General features: G+C 48.0%; 2 long non-coding RNA genes and 1 pseudogene across 2 annotated transcripts, besides 3 other annotated features; 2 read left to right on the top strand and 1 right to left on the bottom strand.

The window, feature by feature from the left end:
• Positions 2,703-2,997: a silencer, noted in NCBI's record as "tiled region #11701; HepG2 Repressive DNase matched - State 21:Repr, and K562 Repressive non-DNase unmatched - State 8:EnhW". NCBI's record gives its function as "represses a minimal TATA promoter and a strong SV40 promoter by Sharpr-MPRA in HepG2 and K562 cells {active_cell/tissue: HepG2 | K562}" and the evidence as "EXISTENCE:reporter gene assay evidence [ECO:0000049][PMID:27701403]".
• Positions 3,337-3,444, bottom strand: RNA5SP89 (RNA, 5S ribosomal pseudogene 89; annotated as a pseudogene).
• Positions 3,847-10,381, top strand: LOC105374384 (uncharacterized). Its single transcript, XR_939878.3, has 3 exons — positions 3,847-4,311; positions 7,448-7,679; positions 8,883-10,381. It is a non-coding gene; the product is annotated as an uncharacterized LOC105374384 (long non-coding RNA).
• Positions 4,469-4,675: a silencer, noted in NCBI's record as "fragment chr2:28905611-28905817 (GRCh37/hg19 assembly coordinates)". NCBI's record gives its function as "represses an EF-1alpha promoter that drives an FKBP-Casp9 reporter gene in an ReSE screen in HepG2 liver carcinoma cells {active_cell/tissue: HepG2}" and the evidence as "EXISTENCE:reporter gene assay evidence [ECO:0000049][PMID:32094911]".
• Positions 5,999-6,088: an enhancer, noted in NCBI's record as "active region_15523". NCBI's record gives its function as "activates an Ori minimal core promoter by ATAC-STARR-seq in GM12878 lymphoblastoid cells {active_cell/tissue: GM12878}" and the evidence as "EXISTENCE:reporter gene assay evidence [ECO:0000049][PMID:35858748]".
• A 1,789-nt stretch (positions 10,382-12,170) lies between the features above and the next one.
• Positions 12,171-14,607, top strand: LOC124907746 (uncharacterized). The gene is made up of 2 exons (XR_007086257.1): positions 12,171-14,262; positions 14,430-14,607. It is a non-coding gene; the product is annotated as an uncharacterized LOC124907746 (long non-coding RNA).
• Positions 14,608-19,761: the final 5,154 nt, after the last annotated feature.

Raw genomic sequence — 19,761 nt, 5'->3', positions numbered from 1 at the left:
AGAGTGTAGGCTCTTGCACCAAGTTGTCATTGGTTTGAACCCTTCCCTTCTCTACCACTTAACCACTGTGTGGGCCTGGGTGAGTGGGAGAACCTTTCCATGCTTTAGTTTCCTCATCCTCTTTCCTCAAAGTGGGTATAATCATACCCAGACTGTGTAATCACAGTAATTGCCTCATAGGACTATAAGGAATACATGAGATAATCCATGAACAAAACATAAATTAGTGTTTGGTATCCAGCAGGTACTCAATGAAAGTTAGCTAAAGGCATTGCCATTACCCTGGTATTCATCAGCCCTTGCAATTGGACTCCGCCCATTTCTCCAACCTGGCCTCCCCAAACCGGTCTATTCATTGTCTCTTATTAGCCATGCACCATTTCTCCCTTTTGAGCTCTCCCCTCTACTTCCCTGCTCCTCCCCGTATATTTGTTTTACTGTGTGCTGTTGGGTCGCCTTCTCTTTCTCAGAAGCCCTGCAGCACCAGTCTGCACTTTGTTCTTACATTATCCATCCTGTAAGTCCATATCTAATGGTTTCCAGGCAGCAGGGCTTCTGGGTTCCCCTAGCACTTAACACTGGATTTTGCACATGGCAGGCGGGCACTCATCCAATATGTCTTCATTTATTGAGCACCTACTATAAAAAAGACCTTTGTAGGCCAGGGCGGTGGCTCACTCCTGTAATCCCAGAGCTTTGGGAGACTGAGGCAGGAGGATCACCTGAGGTCAGGAGTTCGAGACCTGCCTGACCAATATGGTGAAACCCCGTCTCTACTAAAAATACAAAAATTAGCGGGGTGTGGTGGCCGGCGCTTGTAATCCTAGCTACTCGGGAGGCTGAGGCAGAAGGATTGCTTGAACCCAAAGGCAGAGGTTGCAATGTGCCAAGATTGTGCCACTGCACTCCAGCCTGGGCAACAGAGCAAGACTCCGTCTCAAAAAAAAAAAAAAAAAGACCTTTGTTGACACTGGGGACACAGGATTGATTAGTCCCTTCTTCATCCTCACAGTATGGAGGGAGACACAGACTCATAAGCCAAGTGCTTAGGACTAGAATGGAAGGAGGACCTCACTCAGGGGAGCCCATGGAGGGAAGGAGTAATTGGTACTGATGCATGTTTCAGGGTCTTGACAAAGAAGAGTGATAGGACCCAAGGGGGAGATTCCAAAGTCATTATACCAGAGGAGTAAATGGGCCTGGGCACTGAAGGAGAGAGAGGAGTTAAAGCTGATTCTGGGCTTTTCAGCCTGGACAACTGAAGGCATCTTCTGGAGACGTGCCTGAGCTAGTTAGGGTCACCAAGAGCAGGGAACAGAGTGAGGACAAAGACCCCACTGAAAGGGGGTCTTTTACTTCATTCTCAGGCACAGCCAGGCCTGGGAAAGGAGGAAACTCAAGTCTGAGGCTGGAAAACAGCAAGAAAGTTGAAAGCTAGGGAAGAGGGTCTGTATTGGGCCGTTCTTGCATTGCTATAAAGAAATACCTGTGACTGGGTAATTTATAAAGAAAAGAGGTTTAATTGGCTCATGTTTCTGCAGGCTTTACAGGAAGCCTGGTGCTAGCATCTGCTTGGCTTCTAGGGAGGCCTCAGGAAACTTACAGCCATGGAAGAAGGCAAAGGGGGAGCAGGCGTGTCACATGGCAAAAGCACGGGCAAGAGAGAGAGAATAGAGGGAAGTGCCATATGCTTATAAATGACCAGGTCTTGCAAGAACTCACTATCACAAAGACAGCACCAGGCTATGAGGGATCTGCCCCCAGGATTCAAACACCTCCCACCAGGCCCCGCCTCCCGCATTGGGGATTACAATTCAACATGAGATTTCGGCGGAGACAAATATCCAAACTATATCAGGGTCCTTCCATGCATGATGCAGGAGGGAGTGGCCTGAAAAAGACGGATGGGTTACAGGGGAAGGCTACAGGGGAGACAGGCATGGGTAGGGTGAAAGGGCATTCAAGAATGAATTTTCTGAGAATGCCCATTCCATGAGTGGCTGTGAGCATTTGGGGGCCAGGATGGGGTTTCAATAGCCCCGCTGCACTGGGCAGTGACTTCAAGGGACTACCTTGAAGTCAAGAGTTGCATGTTTCCCAGCTTTGTACATTCTACACCATGGCAGGAATAGGGAAGTCAAGGAAGAGGAGGAAGACTTCACTTTTGGATTTATGTTAGTAAAGGAAGTTCAGGTATTATGGGGGCTATAGCACGCTGATTCCAAGATGCTAACTGGATGTACAAACACCAATGCTCAGAGAGCTGTCTGGAGATAGGAACTTGAGTTTTGGAGTCCACCACTTTGACAAAATGGTGGAAGCTACGGCAGCGAGTCCATCCTTTAAGGGAGAGAACCTTTGGCATGTGAACCTCCGGAGATGGGAGATGGAGAACAGTACAATAGAGAGTCTCACCTCAGGGAGCTTCCAAGTAAATGGAATAAGAGAGACCCAATCCTAGGTGGGATGTGACAAGTGATACCAGCCAGGTCTAAAATGCAGGAGAAGTCAGAGGAGATCGAGGTCATTTCAGGAAATGGGTGGGGCAGGGAGGAAGAAGGGGTTCTGGGTGGATCAGGGAAGTCTCTCTGAGGGAAAAGGTATCTGAGGCAGATCTGAAAGAGTGGGCAGGACTCCAACAGTGGAGCCCGGGTGAGGCGGGCAAGGTGTTCTAGGTGAAGGAACCAGCACGAGTACTGGGGATGAGGCTGGAAGAGCAAACTGGAGTCAGATGGTGAAGGGCACCAGATGCTGGGCTGAGGAGTTTAAATAGGAGTCTGGCACAGGGAAGCAGCCACTGATGGTTGAGGGTTGGGGACAGACTGATACTGACATGACTCAAACTGGCTTTTGGAGAGTTCAGCGTGGAAGCCCTATCTAGTGTGGCCTGAGTAGAAAGCCCCTGGCACCATGGAGATCTCCTAGAGGGCTGTTGCTGAGTGCCCCATCTTCCTGATGTATACTGGAGCCACCATCCCGGTCTTCTTGCTGTGCTGCCCCTCACTTGCGGAAATAGACCGAGCTCCTGATAAGGCGGGCCGGGTTACAGAGGGTAGCAGGCAGGCAGACGGGCGCTGACTGCAGCTTAGCAGATGTGTCACTGATAAGCGGTGATCTTCTTGTGTTTGACCTTATCCTGTGCCGAGCTCTTTGTGGGAGAGTGGAGAGGATCAAATATCTGCACCTGGCTCTTCTCTTTCCAACCAGGCCTCTGCTCCAAAACTAGGGGTTTTTGTTTTTTGCTGGTGGTGTTATCATTATTACTATTATTTTTTTTTTTAACAAGCGCTTAATGGTCTAGGGTTCTACCTTCCTTTCAGATTATTTCTCCTGTTTTATTCACCACAATTTATTTACTCTTTTGTCTCTTTTCCAAGTACTAACTAGGCCTGACTCTGCTTAGCTTCCTAGATAAGGCGCATTCAGGGCGGTATGGCTGTAGACTCATTACTCTCTTGTCTTAGGGACTATCCTGAAGTCAAGAATTGCATGTTTTTCAGCTTTGTACATCCCGCACCATGCTTTGTACATAGTAGGCCCGCAACGTTTTTGGCGACCTCAAACCCAAACAAAGTCTCTCTTCTACTTCCAGAATCACTGAGTTCTGCTTCTGAGGTGCTCACACAGGTCCTTGCCTTGGATAACCGGCACGACGGCATCTCCTCAAGAGGAGACAAGAGATAATAACCAAATGAAAACATTCTCTTGGCATCAGTACCTTCCAAGGACAGAGGAAGAATTGTTCTCTGGTGTGGTGTTTTGCAAAGGCATGTAAAGGGTTAATTAAATCTCAGCCCACAGGACTGTGCCATATAAAGGCATTCTTGCAGCAGGAATGTGGGAGTAATGTTGGGAAGCAGGTTTCTCTCCAGGCTCCGGGGCCTGGAGTTGGAGGCTAATGTCTGGAGCTGTGCAGAGGTAGGGAGACACGGGGCTCTGGGGGCCAAAGGGCATGATGCCGAGGGCCTGGTGTGCTCCGCCTGGCCTAAGCCTACCGAGGAGGAGCCCATGTGGGTCCAAACAGTGATCTAGCTTCTGAGTAGAGAAGGCTTAAAATAGTGGTAATCATTCCAGCAGCTGCCGTTTGCTGAGCGCTTGCTGTGAGCAGGCACCCTGCCAAGAGCTCTTCATGTGTGACCTCATGTCCACCTCTCTCCCTGGGAGCCAACGGCTCTTGAGGACACTTGGTTATGGCGTCCCCCCTGGAACACTGGGCCTCAAGCAGCACAACTAACGCTCATGGGACACTCACCGTGTGCCAAGCCCTTGCATGCACTTCACCTCGTTGAATCCGTACAGCCGTATTTTGGGGTAGGTGTATTTGTCTCCATTGGTCAGTTTAGGAAACAGAGGCTCTCTGAAGTTAAGTCATTTGCTAAGATGACACGAGCTAGGGGCAGAGCCAGGACTCAAGCCCAGGCCGCGGATGCCGAAGCTCTTAGCTGTTTCACAATGGGACCTCCTCAGTGACCAAGGCCGCTCTGGTCCTCGGACCCCATTGACAAGCAGCCCAGTTTGCCCTCCTTTGGGGGCCCCTCATCTGGGAACAGCATCCTTTAAGGACCCTGATGCTACTCAGGGTTTTGGTCATCCTCCACCATCTAATACGGGAATTGGGGACCCTGTTTCATTTCTGTCTCATCAGTTTCTCAGGAAGATTGGCATAGATGACAGCTCCTTTTTCAAAATCTCTGTCTCTCTGTTCCACCTTCTGTGGGCCCTGCTTCATCTTGAGTCTGATTTCCCTCAGGGTGGTAACATGGCTTCAACTGCTCTTGGCTTCACATACACACCTGCCCAGACTCAGGAGAGATAGACAGGGTTTTGGGGAATGGTTCCAGAAGAGCAAGGGAAGCTTTCCCCGAGGTACCCGGCACACCTCACCTGCTGTTCCATGGTCCTGAGCTGGGTCAGGATGTGGCCCTTGGACCGAGGAACATGGAAGTCCCCACAATGGGTCTGTGCTCAGGGCCTCTGCCTGGGGTCAGGCCCATTTACTGCACTGCTTTCCTTTAGTGTTTGTCACAAGTCAAAACTCTCTAAGCTCTCTTGGCTCTTGCCAAGTGATCTCTGACCAGCTCATGTGTCTTGACCCTCACAACCAAACGTATAGTCAGGGGGTGAGACCCTGCCCCAGAGTAGGTGGGGGGCGCAGGGCTGGCTTCTTCCAAGGCCTGAGCTGCACAGGAAGCTGGGTTTACCAGGAATGGACACGGGGGAGGCCCCCCGACATCCCCATCCATCTTCTGTCCCCTTGGCCTCCTCTGGTCCTAGACCTGCTATGTACCCACAGTGTCTTGCTTTGTTTTTGGCTGTTTTGCCTTGTTTTGGTTCAGGCACATAGTAGGTGCTGAAGAAGGAATACATTTAGTTGTCCCACCTTTAATTTGAGCATAAAGAAAACAACTCATTATCTTCTCCCTTCAATTTCTCTGGCCCTATGAGGGGTATTATTATCCCTTGGCTTGCTGGGTAGAATATTTATCTTTCTTGTTCTCTGTTGATTAATGTTCACTTACTGGAAGACTGCCCTCAAATACATTTATTCTGTAAAGCCTTACTAAATGCATGCTTTAAGATCTCCTTCATTATGTATGTGTATGTATGTAGGTAATTATATGGTGCATATGTGGTTGGGAAATTTCTTTTGTATTAGTCAGGGTTGTTGTTTTTTTTTTTCCTCTCCAAGTGTTTCATTCCCCTGTGCCACCCCCAGCCCCAAGTGCCCAGGCCTTTCTGAATCTAATGCTTTGGGGGAGGGCTGTGACAGGACAAAGAAGGAAACAAAGGCAGCTCCTTGGGGGCAGGAGAGGAGATCTGATCTGCAATCGCTTGGCAGGGGCCAGTAGAACTTAAAAGTTTTGACTTGGCTTAACTCTGTGGCAAACTATAAGAAATTATTCCTTAATTTCAATGATGAAACCTTCCAGGAAAGTGGTGCAGGGCAGCTAAGTGAGCCTGACCCCAGGCAGTGGTCCTGGCCACAGGCCTGCTTGCTGGGGCGTGGGGATTTCCCACACACTTCAGTCTCATTTCCTGAGTAGCGTCAGCAGGGCACACCAGTCTGAGATGCGGAATCTAAAGTTTAACTTCGCCCCATCCAAATGGTGTGATCTTGCTTGAGTGACCTAATCAACCCCCTTACATCTCAGTCCCATCTATAAATGGTAGCCCATAGCACCCACTTGGAAGGATTCCTGTTGGGATTAGATTATGCATGCACAGCCTTTTGTCCTGTGCCTGGCACAGAGGAGGTGCTTCCAACTGTGGTTTTCATCTCCTTTCTTTCCTTTCTTGGAAGAGCCAGAGTAGTGAGGAAAACCCTGAAAGCAGGCAGTGGGACCATTCATCCGGCCTGGAAAGAAATGGTTCGCATAACATTTGCCTGTGATTAGGGGCAAAATTTACCAGGTGTGTAGCTGTTTAAGGGATGTCAAGAGTCCTCTGCCTCCTCTGGGTCATAGAAAGGCAGGAGCTTGTTTGAGAAGCAGTGTATTGTGTTCAGGAGACATTAGACACTGCATCAATATTGGATGAGGCTTGTGGGGTGCGGTTGGCCGACCGACTGCCGTGTGGGACTACAAGCTGTCCTGTACCTGGCAGGACCTGAAGACTGGCGTGCTCAGGGCTGGGGAGCAGCATGTTGTCCTCTAGGGAAGACACCAGGGCTGAGCTGGCTCCAGCCTGGCCATTCTGTTTCCTGCTCTCCCACTGGAGAGGAAAATAATACTAATACCTACCAATTACCAACTGCTTCCTCTGGGCCAGGCATTTAACAGGTGTTATCTCTTTTAGTCTTCAGAAGGCTCATTTAAGGAAAATGCTGAGAAAACTGAGGCCTGGAGAATTAAGAAACTTGCCCAAGGTCAAATAGTAAGCCATGGTCCTAGGAGGGCCAGCTAACCACATGGGGTGAGAAACCTTTTTCCCAAACACCTGCTGCCCTGCTTCAATCTTTTTTTTTTTTTTTTTTTTGAGACAGGGTCTCACTCTGTTGCCCAGGCTGGAGCACAGTGGCATGATCACTTCTCACTGCAGGTTCACTACTTAGCCTTGAGCTCCCAGGCTAAGTGATTTTTCCACCTCAGCCTCCTGAGTAGCTGGGACCACAGGTGCATACCAGTATACCTGGCTAACTTTTGTATATATATATATTTAAGGTAGAGATGGGGTTTTGTCATGTTGCCCAGGCTGGTCTTGAACTCCTGGGCTCAAGCCATCGGCATGCCTCGGCCTCCCAAAGTGCTGGGATTACAGGCGCGAGCCACCATGACTGGCCCTGCCTCAATCTTAATAGTCACGAATAGTGGGATTGACCTTCATCCCTTCTTTTTTTTCGGGGGGTGAGGTGGGTTGTTGTTAGAGACAGGGTCTTGTTCTGGCACCCAGGCTGGAGTGCAGTGGTGCGATCATAGCTCACTGCAGTCTTGAACTCTTGGGCTCACAGGATCTTCAAGTGACCTTGAAATGGCTGTGGCTGCTCCTTTAGAGGACTCCATCCTGACCCTCTTCTAGCCATGCCTCTCCCTGTGGGGAAGGAGTCTACAGGGCCAAGGAGACGTGACTCTGTGAAGCCCATGGCTCCCTTCTAAAACATTCTCTGGATATTCTCTGCAGTCTTGAACTCCTGGGCTCAAGTGATCTTCCCGCCTCAGCCTCTGGAGTAGCTAGGACTACAGGTGTGTACCACCACAGCCAGCCCTTCCTTCGGTTTGCACTTTCCTCTTCCAACTTATGCTCATTTCCCCCGACCCAGGCCTCTCCCTTTAAGATCAAATATAATAATTCCTGGAATTCCCCACCTGAAAGGCTCCTAGCCTGTTCCAAACTTTTCCGGGCTTCTTTCCCAGATCTATCCTCCCAAAGACTGAGGTCACAGCCAGTATGGCTAGTCTGTGCACCCCTAGGCTTAAGAAATAGCAAAGGGGTGGCTGTGAGTGGGGCATGTGGATGGAGCTTGGGCCTGTGGGTTGGGCTGGGGGCAAGTAGAGTGGGAGATGGGAGGATAAGTCCATGAGTCCAGGACTAAGCATCTGGGAGCTGGCATTCTCTGGAAGAGTGAGAATTCTAAATTTGAAAGCAGCCTTCTAAGTCATTGTGCATGTATATTTTCAAGATAGGCTAGTAGAACATATTTAAGTTTGTTAGCTTGACATATAATTTTAAAATATTAGACCTATGTCTGAGGGCCTCCATTTGTACTCTTGCACCGGGTGCCACAGATATCAGGGGAGTTTGTCACTGTGATCTGTTATGAGAGCACCAAGGGGAACCCTGATGAGCAAGACAGAGAATCACCCACTGAAATGACTGCAAGAGTGTGACTGTTTTTCTCTTTTCTTTTTCCCACTGCCTATGAATGGTCAGACACATCAAAAAGCATAGACAAGAGCATGGGGAATGTGAATGGGCTGTCAGTGAGGGTCAGAGAATCACCTGCACTATTGTGATAACATGATAGACATTCTTGGAAACAGGTGACTCTTTGGCCTTCTGATCAATTTTACATTAAAATTGAAGCAACTATTTGAAAATGCTTTGAAGCATTTACGTATGAGGCTTTTGAAGGCTTTCATCCAGACCAACAAGGCCTATAACAAGTAGCATTTTATTCCTCATTTCCCAAAATAGGAGGTTCAGGGAGGGTGTGTAGTTTGCTCTACATATGACTTCTTCCTTTTCCTCCTGCCCATGGGGAGCTGCTTGGCTACAGACCCCACCCTCTTGCTGTAGGTGACCGTGTCCTTGGTGCTGTGGGCCACGCTGCCAAGGTTTATGGGAAGCTACACCCCTGGGCTATTGTGTTGCCCTCCCTGAAGGCAAATCTCTTTCCCTTCCCACGAATGGCATGTTCCGCCATCTCTATTTATTGTCTTGCCCAGCATCCAGTTCCCAGAACTCCCTGGAGAATTCTCAGACCTCAAACAATGAAGTGTCTCATTCGGAGTAAAAGGAAGAGCACAGGAGTCACCGGAGTCCACGTGGACGCAATTCCACAAGTGACCTTGAAATGGCTGTGGCTGCTCCTTCATGTTGACCGAAGCCAGCTGGCAGCGGTCAGGATTCTGACCATGTTGCCAAAAAGAAGAGGGGCAGAAAGTGCTCCAGCAGGTGCTTGGAGGGATGGCTGAGGGCTCATCTCAAAGGTCAGAGGGTGGAGTCTTGTGACTCCTCATGTAGTATCGCAGGCTGTAGTTATTCCCCTATAGCCTAAGCTGGAAGGCTCAGCTTCAACAGGATTATGAGGTCAAACAAGTTTGTATTGGTCAAACCTCCCTCTGTGCCTCTCCCCCCAGAACCCAGTTGAGAACCTTGCTGTCCTGGCCTCGTATCCAGCATTTGTTCATGGCTTCCAGTACCTCAGGGCTAACACTGGGCTGCCTGGGGGTCCCATCATCCTACCCTCCCTTGCCATACCCTTGAGGACTAAGGTTTACACACAGACACGTGTGCATATGAATGTGTATACACATGTATCGAGCATGTGTATGCACGCACATGCACACACACACTCTGATTCTCTCTCACACACATGCACGTGAAATTCACTGGTTGGGGTTTCATTTTCCCAGAGCTCAGCTCCATGTATTTTTCAATGGGAGGCAAGAGAAGAGTGATCCTTCCATTTCAGGTAGCATTTGCTCATTTAAACCCTGATAACGTGTTTTCTAACCTCCAGGCAAAGTATATGCTGGCCCATGTGGCAAGCCACCCATAAGAATGAGAGAAAAGCGCCCTCCCTCTGGGCAGTTATGGGCCTTGGTGGGCAGAGTTTGGGTTGGATTCCAGTCCCTACTTGCCTCTACCCTGGAGACCTTTGTGCTCTGAGCTATCTCACAGATACTTTGGAGGAGTGATTCTAATGGGAAGAACTCTAGGCTGGGGAAGGAAGGGAAAGTTTTAGGGGTAGATGAAGCCTTGTAGTTGCCCACAGATCATCCCATGTAGGTGTCTGTCTATTCTGTGTGCTCAGAGAGCTGGCATTGCAGGCTGGGCTATGCCTCACTGACTCAGCAGGATTGATTGCTCAGCGCCCCTGCAAAGTGCCTAACACTGCAAGGAGCATCAGTGCCCATTTTATGTGACCAGTTTCTATGGCCCCTTTAAAATGGGCCATAATTTTAGAAACATGACTTAGTTGATCACTTGATCATGTTTGATCAATCAAGGTGACTGATTTGGGAAGTAGGCAGGGTAAGAATATTATAACCATCTTAAAGATGAAAAAACAAAGACTCAGAGAGGTAAAGTGCTATGCACACAGTCACTCAGCTGGTAAGCGGCAGGGTTGGAACCGTGCTCCTCTGGTTCTGCCAATTAGGCAGCCATGTCATGTTGCCTCCTACCAGACAGACTCACGAATGCCGGCTTGAAGCTTAATTTTCTAGAATGTATAAATATTTAAGAAGTCCTGGCCAGGCCCAGTGGCTGGCCTGTAATCCCAGCACTTTGGGAAGCCGAGGTGGGTGGATCACTTGAGGTCAGGAGTTGAGACCAGCCTGACCAACATGGTGAAACCCTGTCTCTACTAAACTACAAAATTAGCCAGGCGTGGTGGTGTGTGCCTGTAATCCCAGCTACTCGGGAGGCTGAGGCAGGAAAATCACTTGAACCCGGGAGGCGGAGGTTGCAGTGAGCTGAGATGCACCATTGCACTCCAGCCTGGGCAACAAAAGTGAAACTCCAACTCAAAAAAAAAAAAAGTCTTTTGTGCCTCTGAAGTATGGGCCATTTGCCCCACACATTCTCTCATGTCCAATCAGCCATTCTGATGGATTCCCCAGCAGTATTACACATAGGTTTAGCACTTAATGTTCTACAGAAGCCTTTTGCTTACAGCAGTCTAGGAGGGTGCCAGGGCAGGTATTCTGTCCATTACATACGAACAAATGGAGACCCAGAGAGGACAGGTGGACTGCCAAGCTCACATGCCTGGTTTGGGACGAGCATCCAGGTCTCCCCATTTTCAAGTCCAATGAGCTTTCAGCCATATCATGCTGCCTCTTCCCCAGAGGGCTTAGGAAACAGGAGAAACTGCCTACAGGAAATATGCTTCACCTTCCTCCACAGACACAGGCTTCTAGGAGAACCAAGCTCCATGGAAACGGAGAGAGAGAGTGTGTATATGGCATTTCTTTTAGGGCCACTCCAGTTCTCATTAGAAGCTGATGAACCACAGCATATTTTCATGGTGGGTCAATCCTAATCCATGTTATCTTCAAAACAAACCAGAATAATTGAATTACAGAATGTCAGAAAAGAAAGAGAACCCCAGAGCCTTCTTTCTAGTCTAATTCTCTCATTTTACAGACGAGGACATAGTTTGGGGCTATGATAGAGACAGGTGAAATGATCTGCTCAAGGCCACCTGCCTAGTTAAGGGTAGAGAGAATATTCTACAGTCCCACGTTGAAGTTGTTAGCTTGGTTTCTGCCTACGTATATTCACGATCTGGGGATTAGGTCCTGAGAAAAGTGAATGGCTGTTGTCATTTCTATCCTATGCTTTACTCTGAAGGAGGCCCAGGAGGGTGACAGAGTGAGGAACGTGGAATACATTGGCATCATATTGGTCACTCTTTGAAATCTGTAATCTGGCACCCCCCAACCTTGATTTCCTATAACCTGGAAGAAAAAAAACAATCTTTACCTCAGCATTGGCCTTGAAGACTTCTGAGTCCTAAGCCTGTGCTCCATCCCCTGCAGATTCCCACTGTTCTCTGGGAGCAGTTGCTCTTTCCACACACATTTACTGAGCACCCATTTCATACCAGGCCCTGTGCTAGGCCAGGGGACACCCAATAAGCAAGACAGACATGGCTTTGATCCTCAGTCTAGCAGAAGCAGAAAGGCTGCTTAAAATGATTCATCCTGGAATTTATTATTTATTTCCTATTTTAAAATCTTTTTAGAGACAGGGTCTTGCTGTGTTGCCTATGCTGGAGTGCAGTGGTACAATCATAGCTCACTGCAGCCTCAAACTCGTGGGCTCAAGTGATCCTCCCACCTCAGCCTCTTGAGTGGTTGGGACTACAGGTACATGCCAACATGCCCAGCTAATTTTTAAAAATTTTTTGTAGAGAAGGGGTCTTGCTATGTTGCCCAGGATGGTCTCAGACTCCTGGGCTCAAGTGATCCTCCTACCTCAGCCTTCCAAAGTTGAGGATTACAGGCGTGAGCCATCATACTTCTATTATTAATCCTAGGAATGCCCTGGCATCAGCATTCATAACTCGGGCTGTTAGGTGTCCCTACTCATCTGTTCTGGATCCTGAGTTGCCTTTCCCAGTCTCTGTGTCTGAAAACCATTCCCTGTTTGTTTCCTGATGCTCATCCCAAATTGGATCCCAAATCCTGATTTATGGGAGCCTACATGGATGACTGCTGACCACACCCCTGTGTTCTCCTTGCCTGGCTTGAGCACCTAAATTTATCAGTGTGCTGGGTGTTGGGGATAGGATGCTGAACAAGTGACACATCACCCCCACTCTCAGGACTGGATGCTGGCTCCAGGCTGCTACCCTCTGGCCCGGGCTAGGCAGTGTTTTCCCTTTTCTCTTGGAACTGATGAGCATTGGCCATGGCTCTCTAATTCAGATGCTAAATCTTTTGCATGTTTTTGCTTTGATCTCATGTCAGTCTCTACCCTTGACTTTGACATTTGGATTCATGGTAACCTCCCTGATGAACTGGCCCCCAACTACAATCTCGGGCATGGCAACTTCCTGCCACTATGCTCACCAGCTTGGTCTACCTCCTAGTTCTCCTTCTTTCTGGCTCACTTCATCTGAAGCAACCATGGCCTAGAGCTGACCCATCATGATAACAGGCCTTCAATAAATATTTATGAAGTTGAGTCAACTCAGGAGCAGTTCAGAAATTCCAGGAACCTCTAAAAGAATACAAAAGAGTTGGCTGTCATATCATGATATGTTCCAAGTTGAAAATAACTCTTTTCATCTCTGTGCTTCTCCGTGCTCCAGAAATTTAAAAGAAAGCATAGAGTCTCATGGTGGGTGAGTCAGGGAGGGCCAAGGGGGCAGTTCTCCATATAGGACTTGCATATCTAGGAATAGTTTGCAGCCTCAAACCCAGCCCTTTGGGAAGCCTGGATGGCCCTGGATGTTGGAAGTGCTGGGAACAGGTCCTACCTGTTACTGGCTGATCTGGTGTGTTCTTACCTCCATATCTCTGCGTGATAGGCTCTGTCCACACAGAAAGCAGAAGCAGTGCCCATCTGTGAAGTTCTTTGTTTCCCTTTAATGCCTCTTTATGTTTTTGCATAGGCTGTTCACTCTGGGTTAGAAACCTCTCAGCCTTCATGAGCTTTCTTCATACCCACATAAGGTAGGTGCAGGCAACTCACTTGGGGCACCAAAGCTAAAGCCTTGTGCAGCCAATGATGAGGCCTTCCCTGAGGGGCAGCCAATGGCCATTTTTCCTGCCATCTGGCTCAATTCAGCCACCATGTCACTAACTGGAGCACACCCTGGTCCTGGTTTACAGTGAGCATTAGCCATGGCTCTCTAATTCAGATGCTAAGTCTTTTGTATGTTTTTGCTTTGATCTCATGTCAGTCTCTACCCTTGACTTTGACATTTGGATTCATAGTAACCTCCCACTTTTCCTGAATTTTGTTTGCATCTTGATGATTTCACCCCCAGAATGAGAGAAAGATTTTGCCTTTTGAAAGAGTGGTTGAGCCTATATATCCTGATGACACAGCCTGTAGGATGGCCCCCAATGCCCTCCACCTCCTGGTGTTCATGGCCTTGTGTAAGGCCCTCCCCTTGAGCTATACACGTATTCTAACAAATAGAATACAGCAAAAGGGATGGACACAATTTCTGAGATTAGGTTATAAAAAGACTGTGGCTTCTGTATCAGGTATCCACTCCTTTCCTTTTCCCTTCCCTCCCCTTCCCTCCCTTTCCTTCCCCTTCCCTCTCCTCCCCTGCCCTCCTCTTCTTTCTCTTTCTCAGATCATTCGCACTGGGGCAAGCAAGCTGCCATGTTGTGGGCAACTTTACAGAGAGGCCCACGTAGCGTGGTGAGAAACTGAGATCCTCAGTGCAATAGCCTGTGAGGACTGACACCTGCCAACTTACCAAAGAGTAAGCTCAGAAGTGGATTTTTCAGCCCCAGTTGAGTCTTGAGATGACGGAAGCCCGAGCCAACAGCTTGACTGCCATGTTATCAGAAACCCTGAGCCAGAATCACTCAGTTTAACCACTCCTAGATTCCTGACCCCCAGAACTGTGAGGTGAGATGTGTTGTTGTTTTAAGCTGCTAAATTTTGAAGTAGTTTGTTATGCAGCAATCGATAAATAATACATATCCCCATATAGGAACTGCAAATACACAGCTTTCATTTCTTCCCTAGCCACTCATTTATAACCTTCTTGTCATATGCCTTCTCTCCCCATCAAGGCTGCTGCTAGCCCATAAGGCATCTTTGTGCCAGTTATGAAACGGGACTCATTCTTCAAGATGCTTTTCTCCCTTTGGCTGGAAGATTGTCATAAATCTCCAATCTGTGAAGGGGGCCATGCTGTATTAGTCCATTCTCATGCTGATAATAAAGGCATATCTGAGACTGGGTAATTTATAAAGGAAAGAGGTTTAATGGACTCACAGTTCCACATGGCTGGGGAGGCCTCACAATCATGGTGGAAGACAAAGGAAGAGCAAAGGAACATCTTACATGGCGGCAGGCAAGAGAACGTATGCAGGGGAACTCCCATTTATTTTTTTTTTTAAGTTTTATTTTACTTTAAGTTCTGGGGTACATGTGCAGAATGTGCAGGTTTGTTACCTAGATAAACGTGTGCTATGGTGGTTTGCTGTACCTATCAACCCATTACCCAGGTATTAAGCCTGGCATGCATTAGCTATTTGTCCTGATGCTCTCCCTCCCCTCGCCCCACTGACAGGCCCTGGTGTGTGTTGTTCCCCTCCCTGTGTCCATGTGTTCTCATTGTTCAGCTCCCACTTACGGGTAAGAACATGGAGTGTTTGGTTTTCTGTTCCTGTGTTAGTTTGGTGAGGATGATGGCTTCCAGCTTCATCCATGGGGAACTCCCACTTATAAAACCATCAGATCTTGTGAGACTTATTCACTGCCACGAGAACAGTATAGGGGAAACCGCCCCCATGATTCAATTATCTCCACCTGGCCCCACCCTTGACATGTGGGGATTATTACAATTCAAGGTGAGATTTGGGTGGGGACGCAGCCAAACCATATCACGTGCCCTGTAGATTGCTGACTTTGTGCAGTGCATAATCCACACTACTGCATATAGCAACCCTGGCCCCACTCCTGCTGAAAATTTCGCCTCCACTGTTGTTGATGACCTGCTGTTTTGCAACCCTGATGATCTTTCCTTAGTTCCCCTTTCCTTTGATCTCTCAGCTTTACTTGACACTGTGGACCACCCCTGCACCCTCACAGTTTGTTATGTGGGATTGCAGGAGACAGGACTGATATCTTGCTGAAGAGATGGGTGATTACATCAATCCCAAATCCCAACACAGCTAAGCTGGTCCTTTAGGGTAATATACCCCAGATGCTGCTTGGGGTCTTCTTGGTGTCATTTTCACAGTCACTTCTGGTTCCAGCTTCCTTTCTCCAATGAGCTCCTCTCCCCTGCAGTTGCCTTGGGCCTCTGCCTTTATTGCTACCCTGATGTTGTGCCAACATGGAAGTCATATTTGTTCCTTCCTTTTCCCCCAAACCTCCCTACTTTGCTAAAGTTTGAGGAGACAAAGGGTGTATATTTTCATTAACGTCACAGACAATGGCCTCTAAGAAGCTTCCGTTCTTAGAAGTCCTTTGGTGCCTTCGCAGAGTGGCTTGCTCCTTGTCTGCCCTCTTACTCCTGCACTGATGCAGCTCCATTGAGCTTTCTCTTTTGCTAGCTTGCCGACTGAGAGCCTAAGCTCCCAGACTTACCTTCCATCTCAAGGCTTCTAAAGGTATTACGCTATGGCAAAACAGTTTCATCTCTAAGAGGAATTCTGTTTCCAGATATTAAGCTGAGTTTTTTTTTTCCTACATGCCTCAGTTAGTCCTTAAAGTGACCATACATTCATCATGTGTTAAATGTCACCTCCCCACACAAATTCAAAGTGGAGGAAGCTGTTTTCAGACAATGAGGCTTCTTTTCCAGAGTCCTTTCTCCCTGGGACCATCTTTTACCTCCCTCTTCGTTGGCATTTCCCCCAGCATGCTGCAAGTACTTTTTATTCCACATTGCTGAGTTTCTACCGCAGCCCAGAAACTCACTTCTAATTTGATGGATTTTCCATTGTGCTTCATGCAGGCAGGCTTTTACTTTGAAAATGATGACAATGAACTAGATGCCTGGGTTGCTCTTCATGCAGGCCCAGTCTTGTACATGACATTTTCTTTGACCAGCTTTGAAAAAAATCCAATTTAGATGGTCACCACCTGCAGTTTCAGCCTTGCACTCAGTGCTAACTCAGAGGTTCCTTTGTTATCAAAACAATTTGGCTAGAATTTGTTGAATAAACCCCTTCCTCTACCCTCTGGCATTGCTACTTTCCAAAAATTTGCTAATGGTGTCACAAATTCTTTCCCTCCCTGGCTTTTGTGACATGAGATCTTTCCTCCCTTTCTTTCTGCCTCTCAGACCACCCGTCTCTCTTTCTTTGGAATTGCTTCCTTCTGCTGTCCCTCAAATGTGAGTCCTTCTGGCTCACTCTTCCCTCTTTTCCAGGATGCCTCATCTACTTTTGGGAATTTTGCTACTGCTATTTGTTAAGCTACTAAATATTTCCTTCATTTATGTATGTATGTATTTTTTATCATCTTAATCAATTTTTGGGGGGAGGGGACAGAATCTCTTGCTCTGTCTCCCAGGCCGGAGTGCAGTGGTTCTACCTTGGCTCACTGCAACCTCTGCCTCCCAGGTTCAAGCAATTCTTGTGCCACAGCATCCCGAGTAGCTGTGATTACAAGCACGCGCCACCATGCCTGGCTAATTTTTTCTTGTAATTTTTGTAGAGACGGGGTTTTACCGTGTTGTTCAGGCTGGTCTTGAACCCCTGACCTCGAGTGATCTGCCTGCCTCGGCCTCCCAAAGTGCTGGGATTACAGGTGTAAGCCACCATATCTGACCCAACTTAATGATTTAAAAATGTACAGTTCAGTGGTATTAAGTACATTCAGATGATTGTGTAGCCGCCACCACCATCCATCTCTCTTCTCTCAACCCCTGGCAACCACCATTCGACTGTTGTCTCTATGAGTTGGACTACACTAGGTGCCTTATATAAGTGGACTGCTACAGTATTTGTTCTTCTGTGACTGGTTATTTCACTTAGCATCATGTCCTAAGGCTCATCTATGTTCTAGCATGTTAACTATTATTTTCACATGAGCGATTCCAGATGTGTAGCTCCAGTTCTTACCTTTCTCTTAAGATTTGTTTCTGCACCTCCACCTCCCTTTGGATTCTCTGACACAGATGCATTGCAGTTGCTTCAAAGATACTGAGAAAACGTGGCTTTTTGTCTTATTTTTTTGAGATGGAGTCTTGCTTTGTCACCCAGGCTGGAGTGCAGTGGCATGATCTTGGCTCACTGCAACTTCTGCCTCCTGGGCTCAAGGGATTCTCGTGCCTCAGCCTCCTAAGTAGCTGGGATTAGAGGCACGTGCCACCAGGCTCATCTAAAACCAGGCTCATCACCCTTCTCCCCAAATCAGAGTTGCTCATTCCTATCAACGGGAAGATGCTTCCACAGTCTCCTTCAATCTTGGGTCATTTCTATTCCTTCTTCCTTTTTCTCTTCCACATCAAGTTACCCCACAGCTTATAAACTGTCTATTCTATAGGCTCCTTATTGCCTATAGAATGAAGTTCAAAGTCCTCAGACCACTTAGTTTGGCCTTGAATTGGAATTAGTCTCAGTTGTATGTGTGTGAGAAAACCCAAAATAATAGTGGTTTTAAAATAACATAAAAGTCCACTTTTTCAGCCGGACACAGTGGCTCATGCCTGTAATCCCAGCACTTTGGGAGGCCGAGGCAGGCAGATCACTTGAGGTCAGGAGTTTGAGACCAGCCTGGCCAACATGGTGAAATCCTTTTGCTTTGTAAACAAACGGAGGCCTGGAGGCCTGCTTCAGGAGGAAACAGCAACTCCTGGAGAGGCCCCAGAAGGAAATTCAGGGCATGTCTTCCCCAGGTGGGGCTGCCCCTAGCAGGCCCCCAGCAATCACCAGCCTTGTAATCCACAGGAGGCCAAGAACCTGGAATCTGCGGCTGCATGTATTTCATAGGAAGTTTGTCTTGGGCCCATCCTACATGGTGTATTATTAAAGTGCCATAAAGGTCTCATTTAATTGTTGATTGCCCCAACACAGGAACGCAAGGACAATATTATAGCCAGGCCTCTGCTCAGGGTGAATGATGCCTTGTATTAGATGAGACAGCAGGGTTGTTGATGCATTTTCCTGTCTGGCTCCTTCTTGGGCTCATGACAGTCAAGTTTTGTAGGATTGTGGAGTCCCCTCCACCGATTCAATGCACTCTCAGTCATTGTCTTGCACACGTGGTTCTCCTAGTGTGGTCCCAGCACCAGTGGCATCAGCATCACCTGGGAACTTGTTAGAAATACAAATTCATAGACTCCCTCCAGTCCTGCTAAATTAGATGGAGCCCCGCCATCTGTGTTTTAACAAGCTTTCCAGGTGATTCGTAGAAACACTGCTCTTGTAGGTGCCCAGGTGAAAGTTGAAAAGGGCAGTAAGCAAGAGTTGGCAGACTCTCTGGGTTGCATGAGGGCCATCGGGAGGTTGGTGAGGTGTGTTCCTGCCTATCTGGGGTGCTGGCTTTGGGAGCATGAAGGCCTCCTTCCACAGCATCCTGATTCCTGAGAAGAAAAAGCTCATTCAGAAGGAGGAGCCATGGACAGCAAAGGACAGACAACAGGTAGGGAAACTGAGGGGATGGGATATAGAGAAGCAGCTGGGACAGGCAGACCTGGTCAGGCGCATCAATGTCTAAAGTGCAGGCTGGGCCAGCATAGATACTGGTCTCTTGGCCAGCTTTCTTTTATGCTTTTGGGTACATGTCAAAGATTCCAGGCCACCCTGCTGACAGGGAGTTATTGATTCCTGCCTGGTTATTGGGTAATGCCCTTCACAGCTGCCTTGCATGAGCAAACATGTTCAATGAGCAATTCAGGTTCTCCATATTTTCACAGTGTACTGGGCACCTCTCACACCTCTTTTTTTTTTTTTTTTTTTTTTTTTTTTGAGATGAGTCTTGCTCTGTCGCCCAGGCTGGAGTGCAGTGGTGCAATCTCGGCTCACTGCAACCTCCGCCTCCTGGGTTCAAGCAATTCTCCTACCTCAGCCTCCCGAGTAGTTGGGATTACAGGCACACACCATCACGCCTGGCTAATTTTTGTATTTTTAGTAGAGACGGGGTTTCACCATGTTGGCCAGGCTGGTCTTGAACTCCTGACCTCGTGATCCACCCGCCTTGGCCTTCCAAAGTTCTAGGATTACAGGCGTGAGCCACTGTGCCCAGCCTCTCACACCCCTTGTAACTCATTTTCCACCACTGGCTCGCCGTGGTCGTGTGGGACAGCACATCCTTCCAAGATGGTGCAGTTGGATGTTATGATACAAGCACTGTCCACTTGATTAAGGCTTTCATTTCACATCTTTGCCTCCTAGAGCTATGTCATTCCAGCGATGGGAAGATGAATGAGATATTGAGGTGACGTGT

The sequence above is a fragment of the Homo sapiens genome, chromosome 2 (genome assembly GCF_000001405.40).
Source record: "Homo sapiens chromosome 2, GRCh38.p14 Primary Assembly".
NCBI classification, from domain to species: Eukaryota; Metazoa; Chordata; class Mammalia; order Primates; family Hominidae; genus Homo; species Homo sapiens.
The sequence above is the reverse complement of the archived record's forward strand: the minus strand, read 5'-3'. Positions and strand labels throughout refer to the sequence as shown.